Raw genomic sequence first — 9,376 nt, 5'->3', positions numbered from 1 at the left:
ATACACAATACACATCAACATATGTATATTGGCACACCACATTATGCATACACATTATGCATAACGTTTTTATAAGACAGATACTGAATGTGTCTTTTTGTGTGTGTGTGTGTGTGTGAACATTTTTCTTTTTTTATTATTATACTTTAAGTTTTAGGGTACATGTGCACATTGTGCAGGTTAGTTACATACGTATACATGTGCCATGCTGGTGCGCTGCACCCACTAACTCGTCATCTAGCGTTAGGTATATCTCCCAATGCTATCCCTCCCCACTCGCCCCACCCCTCAACAGCCCCCAGAGTGTGATATTCCCCTTCGTGTGTCCATGTGATCTCATTGTTCAATTCCCACCTATGAGTGAGAATATGCAGTGTTTGGTTTTTTGTTCTTGTGATAGTTTACTGAGAATGATGATTTCCAATTTCATCCATGTCCCTACAAAGGACATGAACTCATCATTTTTTATGGCTGCATAGTATTCCATGGTGTATATGTGCCATATGCAGCCAAAAAACACATGAAAAAATGCTCATCATCACTGGCCATCAGAGAAATGCAAATCTAAACCACAATGAGATACCATCTCACACCAGTTAGAATGACAATCATTAAAAAGTCAGGAAACAACAGGTGCTGGAAAGGATGTGGAGAAATAGGAACACTTTTACACTGTTGGTGGGACTGTAAACTAGTTCAACCATTGTGGAAGTCAGTGTGGCGATTCCTCAGGGATCTAGAACTGGAAATACCATTTGACCCAGCCATCCCATTACTGGGTATATACCCAAAGGACTATAAATCATGCTGCTATAAAGACACATGTACACGTATGTTTATTGCGGCATTATTCACAATAGCAAAGACTTGGAACCAACCCAAATGTCCAACAATGATAGACTGGATTAAGAAAATGAATGTGTCTTATGATACAAAAGTTGCTAGAATCTTGTAATAAAGAAGCCAAGCAAATACCAGGTTTTCAAGAATTATAGTTGGGGCTAGATAATTCTTCTTTTGCAGAAGCTGTTAAACAGAAATAACCGTCAAGTACTCTCTACTGTTTAAGAAAGATATTTGATAGATGATTTTAAAGTAGACATCCAGGATTCAATATATTTATGCTCTTTCTTGTTTTAAAAGAATCCAAACAAATAAGCACCTGACGTACAGGTTCTCTTCTTAATGCTAGAGAGTAATCCACAAAGCAAAACCCCTACAGAGACAGACTTTGCTTTCTCCCTGAGATTAAAAGATTGCTGCTCAATACAAAAAAAAAAAAAAGTTATTTAATATATGAAGGAAAAGCTATGCTAGTTAGGCACATTCTTGGGACCAGGCAGACAATGTGAAATCTAGACATTAGCAGACTTTAAGTGGTGTATGTGGGCTGGCATTATTGATAGAATTCAAGTTATTCCGGGCTAAATTGTATGTAGAGAAATATATTTGTTGGAGTTTTTACTTGGCTCAGTAATTTTTCAATGAGTCAGAGATCCAGATATTGGTACATTTTAACTGGTGTAAGTGCATTGGCATTATTTATGGAAATCAAGTTATTCAAATGAAACTTGTAGCTAGGGAGGTGTATTTCTTAATGTGTGTCATTTTCCTCTTCCTGTGTCCCTGTGTTCTCATCGTTCAGTTCCCACCTATGAGTGAGAATATGTGGTGTTTGGGTATTTCTCCTTGTGATAGTTTGCTGAGAATGATGGTTTCCAGCTTCATGCATGTCCCCACAAAGGACATGAATTCAACATTTTTTTATGGCTGCATAGTATTCCATGTTGTATATGTGCTACATTTTCTTGATCTAGTCTATCACTGTTGGACACTTGGGTTGGTTCCAAGTCTTTGCTATTGTGAACAGTGCCACAATAAACATACGTGTGCATGTGTCTTTATAGCAGCATGTTTTGTAATCTTTTGTGTATATACCCAGTAATAGGGATGGCTGGGTCAAATGGTATTTCTAGTTCTAGATCCCTGAGGACTTGCCACACTGACATTCACAATGGTTGAACTAGTTCACAGTCCCACCAACAGTGTAAAAGTGTTCCTATTTCTCCACATCCTCTCCAGCATCTGTTGTTTCCTGATTTTTAATGATTGCCATTCTAACTAGTGTGAGATGGTATCTCATTGAGGTTTTGATTTACATTTCTCTGATGGCTAGTGATGATGAGCATTTTTTCATGTGTCTTTTGGCTGCATAAATGTCTTCTTTTAAGAAGTGTCTCTTCATATCCTTAGTCCACTTTTTGATGGGTTTTTTTTTTTTTTTTTCCTTGTAAATTTGTTGGAGTTCATTGTGGCTTCTGGATATTAGCCCTTTGTCAGATAAGTAGATTGCAAAAATTTTCTCCCATTCTGTAGGTTGCCTGCTCACTCTGATGGTAGTTTCTTTTGCTGTGCAGAAGCTCTTTAGTTTCTTTAGATCCCATTTGTCCATTTTGGCTTTTGTTTTGTTTTGTGTGAATTTGATCCTTTCATTATGATATTAGCTGATTATTTTTCTTGTTAGTTGATGCAGTTTCTTTCTAGCCTCAATGGTCTTTACAATTTGGTATGTTTTTGCAGTGGCTGGTACTGGTTGTTCCTTTCCATGTTTAGTGCTTCCTTCAAGAGCTGTTTTGGGGCAGGCCTGGTGGTGACAAAATCTCTCAGCATTTGCTTCTTTGTAAAGGATTTTATTTCTCCTTCACTTATGAAGCTTCGTTTGGCTGGATATGAAATTCTGGGTTGAAAATTCATTTCTTTAAGAATGTTGAATATTGGCCCCCACTCTCTTCTGGCTTGTAGAGTTTATGCTGAGAGATCAGCTGTTAGTGTGTTGGGCTTCCCTTTGTGGGTAACCCAACCTTTCTCTCTGACTGTCCTTAACATTTTTTCCTTGTTTTCAACTTTGGTGAATCTGCCAATTATGTGTCTTGGAGTTGCTCTTCTTGAGGAGTATCTTTGTGGTGTTCTCTGTATTTCCTGAATTTGAATATTGGCCTGCCTTGCTAGATTGGGGAAGTTCTCCTGGATAATATCCTGCAGAGTGTTTTCCAACTTGGTTCCATTCTCCCCGTCACTTTCAGGTACACAAATCAGATGTAGATTTGGTCTTTTCACATATTCCCATATTTCTTGGAGGCTTTCTTTGTTTCTTTTTATTCCTTTTTCTCTAAACTTCTCTTCTCCACTTCATTCATTTCATCTTCCATCACTGAGACCCTTTCTTCCAGTTGATCCAGTAGCAGATTCAGTGCAGATCCAGTAGTAGCTGTATCTCATACAGCAGTGGTCATCCAGCAAATTCCAACTGATCTGCTACTGAGGCTTGTGCATTCATCACATAGTTCTCTTGCCTTGGTTTTCAGTTCCATCAGGTCCTTGAAGGACTTCTCTGCATTGGTTATTCTAGTTAGCCATTCGTCTAATTTTTTTGTTAAGGATTTTAACTTCTTTGCCATGGGTTTGAACTTTCTCATTTAGCTTGGAGTAGTTTGATTGTCTGAAGACTTCTTGTCTCAATTGGCCAAAGTCATTCTCCATTCAGCTTTGTTCCATTGCTGGTGAGGAGCTGCATTCCTTTGGAGGAGGAGAGGTGCTCTGATTTTTAGAGTTTCCAGTTTTTCTGCTCTGTTTTTTCCCCCATCTTTGTGGTTTTGTCTACCTTTGGTCTTTGATGATGGTGACATACAGATGGGGTTTTGGTGTGGATGTCCTTTCTGTTTGTTAGTTTCCCTTCTAACAGTCAGGACCCTCAGCTGCAGGTCAGTTGGAATTTGCTGGATGACCACTCCAGACCCTGTTGGCCTGAATATCAGCAGCAGAGGCTGCAGAACAGCGGATATTGGTGAAGAGCAAATATTGCTGCCTGATCGTTCCTCTGGAAGTTTTGTTTCAGAGGAGTACCCTGCTGTATGAGGTGTCAGTCAGCCCCCAGTGGGGGATGTCGCCCAGTTAGGCTACTTGGGGGTCAGGGACCCACTTGAAGATGCAGTCTTTCCATTCTCAGATCTCCAGCTGCATGCTGGGAGAACCACTACTCTCTTCAAGCTGTCAGATAGGGACATTTAAGTCAGCAGAGATTTCTGCTGCCTTTTGTTTGGTTATGCCTTGCCCACAGAGATGGAGTCTACACAGGCAAGCAGGCCTCCTTGAGTTGCGGTGGGCTCCACCCAGTTCGAGGTTCCCAGCCTCTTTATTTACCTACTCAAGCCTCAGCAATCATGGGTGTCCCTTCCCCAGCCTCGCTGCCCCCTTGGAGTTTAATCTCAGACTGCTGTGCTAGCAATGAGTGAGGCTCCTTGGGCATAAGACCCTCTGAGCCAGGCACAGGATATAATCTTCTGGTATGCCATTTGCTAAGACCATTGGAAAAGTGCAGTATTAGGGTGGGAGTGACCTGATTTTCCAGGTGCCATCTGTCACCCCTTTCTTTGACTAGGGAGGGAATTCCCTGACCCTTTGCACTTCCCAGGTGAGGTGATGCCACACCCTGCTTTGGGTCATGCTCACTATGCTGCATCCACTGTCCTGCACCCACCTTCCAACACTCCACAGTGAGATGAACCCGGTACCTCAGTTGGAAATGCAGAAATCAGCCATCTTCTGCATCGCTCTTGCTGGGAGCTGTAGACTGGAACTGTTCCTATTTGGCCATCTTGGCTCCACCTAATTTTTATATTTTTAGTAGAGACGGGTTTTCACCATGTTGGCCAGGATGGTCTCAAGCTCCTGACCAAGTAATCTGCAAGCCTCAGCCTTCTAAAGTGCTAGGATTACAGGCATGATCCACCACACATGGCCAGGTTATTTTTTTTTTTGTACTTGTGATAAGCGAAAAGGAAGGATAAGACACACACATATGCTAAGTAGGGCACTCTGTTCACTCAATTTTTTGCTAATGCCTCCTCATCTGGCTCATGCTGATTATATGCAGAAATTGTTTTGGAAATGTTTTATCATTATTGAAAAAGTAAACTCCTAGGAGTAGCATTCAGAGTCCAACATTATTCTTCCTTAACAACTGTAGTACCCACTTCACAGTATAACATAGTTACAGTGAGTAACTGAGTAAGCAGGTATTAATTGCTGAGAACAGTGCCTCATGATGGTGGTGAGGTGGAGTAATCTTTACAAAAAAAAGAGAAAAGAAATTTTTCAGAGCATTTTCTTGAGTAACAGAAGGATTTTTGCCACCTGATGCTCTTGGGTTTTCCATTATTAGAACTTCATATTCATGAATTTTATTTTTCCAATCTAGCCTTTACCACAGACAGAGGGAACTTCAAGACAAAAGTGAATTTTCAGTTGTCAACAAGCTAAATTTTAAGGACAATGACTAATTTGACTCACCTTTTAAAGGTAAGTTTCAACATAAGTATCAGTTTTTATAAGTTGAAGTTGTAGAAAAATTAGTTTTGGTGAAACATATCTATTGGTATTAAAAAAAAGCAGCTACAAATTGGAACATTTTTATTCTGTGATAAAACTACAAGTACAGCTGCATCACCTCATTTTCCTATCATGAAACTTTTTATGGTTGTGTCTGTTTACTTTTAAAAATCTCAGCATGACAAATTTCAGAGTTTGAGCTAAGCTCATAAATACATCATTAATTTATCAGATTTAAAATGAGTGATTTTAGAGAATGTATTTCTTCTGAGGTGGGCAGATCATGAGTCAGGAGATTGAGATTATCCTGGCTAACACAGTGAAACCCCATCTCTACTAAAAATACAAAATATTAGCCGGGCATGGTGGCAGGCACCTGTAGTCCCAGCTTCTCTGGAGGCTGAGTCAGGAGAATGGCATGAACCTGTGAGGTGGAGCTTGCAGTGAGCCAGGATCACACCACTGCACTCCAGCCTGGGCTACAGGGTAAGATTCCATCTCAAAAAAAAAAAAAAAAAAAAAAAGGAAATAAAGGGTATTCAATTAGGAAAAGAGGATGTCAAATTGTCCCTGTCTGTAGACTACATGATTGTATATCTAGAAAACCCCACTGTCTCAGCCCAAAATCTCCTTAAGCTGATAAGCAACTTCAGCAAAGTCTCAGGATACAAAATCAATGTACAAAAGTCACAAGCATTCTTATACACCAACAACAGACAAACAGAGAGCCAAATCATGAGTGAACTCCCATTCACAATTGCTTCAAAGAGAAGAAAATACCTAGGAATCCAACTTACAAGGGATGTGAAGGACCTCTTCAAGGAGAACTACAAACCACTGCTCAATGAAATAAAAGAGGATACAAACAAAAGGAAGAACATTTCATGCTCATGGGTAGGAAGAATCAATATCCTGAAAATGGCCATACTGCCCAAGGTAATTTAGAGATTCAATGCCATCCCTATCAAGCTACCAATGCTTTTCTTCACAGAATTGGAAAAAACTACTTTAAAGTTCATATGGAACCAAAAAAGAGCCTGCATCGCCAAGTCAATCCTAAGCCAAAAGAACAAAGCTGGAGGCATCACACTACCTGACTTCAAACTATACTACAAGGCTACAGTAACCAAAAGAGCATGGTACTGTTACCAAAACAGAGATATAGATCAATGGAACAGAAAACAGCCCTCAGAAATAGCACTGCATATCTACAACTATCTGATCTTTGACAAACCTGAGAAAAACAAGCAATGGGGAAAGGATTCCCTATTTAATAAATGGTGCTGGGAAAACTGGCTAGCCATATGTAGAAAGCTGAAACTGGATCCCTTCCTTACACCTTATACAAAAATCAATTCAAGATGGATTAAAGACTTAAACCTTAGACCTAAATCCATAGAAACCCTAGAAGAAAACCTAGGCATTACCAATCAGGACATAGGCATGGGCAAGGACTTCATGTCTAAAACACCAAAAGCAACGGCAACAAAAGCCAAAATTGACAAATGGGATCTAATTAAACTAAAGAGATTCTGCACAGCAAAAGAAACGACCATCAGAGTGAACAGGCAACCTACAAAATGGGAGAAAATGTTCGCAACCTACTCATCTGACAAAGGGCTAATATCCAAAATCTACAATGAACTCAAACAAATTTACAAGAAAAAAGCAAACAACCCCATCAAAAAGTGGGCGAAGGACATGAACAGACACTTCTCAAAAGAAGACATTTATGCAGCCAAAAAACACATGAAAAAATGCTCATCATCACTGGCCATCAGAGAAATGCAAATCAAAACCACAATGAGATACCATCTCACACTCCTTAAGCTGATCACCAAGTTCAGCAAAGTCTCAGGATACAAAATCAATGTGGAAAAATCACAAGCATTATTAGACACCAATAACAAACAGAGAGCCAAATCATGAGTGAACTCCCATTCACAATTGCTTCAAAGAGAAGAAAATACCTGGGAATCCAACTTACAAGGGATGTGAAGGACCTCTTCAAGGAGAACTACAAACCACTGTTCAATGAAATAAAAGAGGATACAAACAAATGGAAGAACATTCCATGCTCATGGGTAGGAAGAATCAATACCGTGAAAATGGCCATACTGCCCAAGGTAATTTATAGATTCAGTGCCATCCCCATCGAGCTACCAAGGACTTTCTTCACAGAATTGGAAAAAAAAACTTTAAAGTTCATATGGAACCAAAAAAGAGCCCGCATTGCCAAGTCAATCCTAAGCCAAAAGAACAAAGCTGGAGGCATCACGCTACCTGACTTCAAACTATACCACAAGGCCACAGTAACCAAAACAGCATGGTACTGGTACCAAAACAGAGATATAGATGAATGGAACAGAACAGAGCCCTGAGAAATGATACCACACATCTACAACCATCTGATTTTTTACAAATCTGACAAAAACAAGAAGTGGGGAAAAGATTCCCTATTTAATAAATGGTGCTGGGAAAACTGGCTAGCCATATGTAGAAAGCTGAAACTGGATTCCTTCCTTACCCCTTATACAAAAATTAATTTAAGATGGATTAAAGACTTAAATGTTAGACCTAAAATCATAAAAACCCTGGAAGAAAAACTAGGCAATACCATTCAGGACATAGGCATGAGCAAGGACTTCATGCCTAAAACACCAAAAGCAATGGCAACAAAAGCCAAAATTGACAAATGGTGTCTAATTAAACTAAAGAGCTTCTTCACAGCAAAAGAAACTACCATCAGAGTGAACAGGCAACCTACAGAATGGGAGAAAATGTTTGAAATCTATTCATCTGACAAAGGCTAATATCCAGAATTTACAAAGAACCCAAACAAATTTACAAGAAAAAAAACAAGCAACCCCATCCAAAAGTGGGTGAAGGATATGAACAGAAACTTCTCAAAAGAAGACATTTATGCAACAATCAGATATATGAAAAAAATGCTCATCGTCACTGGCCATCAGAGAAATGCAAAGCAAAACCACAATGAGATACCATCTCACACCAGTTAGAATGGTGATCATTAAAAAGTCAGGAAACAACTGGTGCTGGAGAGGATGTGGAGAAATAGGAACAATTTTACACTGTTGGTGGGACAGTAAATTAGTTCAACCATTGTGGAAGACTGTGTGGCAATTCCTCAAGGATCTAGAACTAGAAATATCATTTGACCCAGCCATCCCTATTACTGGGTATATACGCAAAGGATTATAAATCATGCTGCTATGAAGACATATGCACACGTATGTTTATTGCGGCACTATTCACAATAGCAAAGACTTAGAACCAACCCAGATGTCCATCAATGATAGACTGGATTAAGGAAATGTGGCATATATACACCACGGAATACTATGCAACCATAGAAAAAGATGAGTTCATGTCTTTGTGGGGATATGGATGAAACTGGAAACCATCATTCTCAGCAAACTATCACAAGGACAAAAAACCAAACACCACATGTTCTCACTCGTAGGTGTGACTTGAACAATGAGAACAGTTTGACACAGGAAGGGGACTATCACACAGCAGGTCCTGTCTTGGGGTGTGGGGAGCGGGGAGGGATAGCATTAGTAGACATACCTAATGTAAATGATGAGTTAATGGGTGCAACACACCAACATGGCACATGTATACATATGTAACAAACCTGCACATTATGCACATGTACTGTAGAATTTAAGTATAATATTTAAAAAAAAGTAAAAAAAAATAAGGAATTGGGGAAATAGATTTCGTATTTCAATTTTTGGAAAAGCTGTAACACTGGTTTAACTTAGCACTATACAAAAACTGGCCATCAGACTTCTCTTGTCTGTCCCACTTTCTTATTCCAGCCTTCTTTAAGATTACCAACTTTCCTTGCTGGAGATGGAGGGAGATGGGAAGAGAGATGTTGGAGCTTTGCACTTTTGTTCTAGGGCTGAGCAAACATCCAGGATCCTTTCTTTTGGGATCAAAGTGTTTAATCCTCAAATAT

Source organism: Homo sapiens, chromosome Y, assembly GCF_000001405.40.
Source record: "Homo sapiens chromosome Y, GRCh38.p14 Primary Assembly".
NCBI classification, from domain to species: domain Eukaryota; kingdom Metazoa; phylum Chordata; class Mammalia; order Primates; family Hominidae; genus Homo; species Homo sapiens.
Note: the sequence above shows the minus strand (reverse complement) of the source record.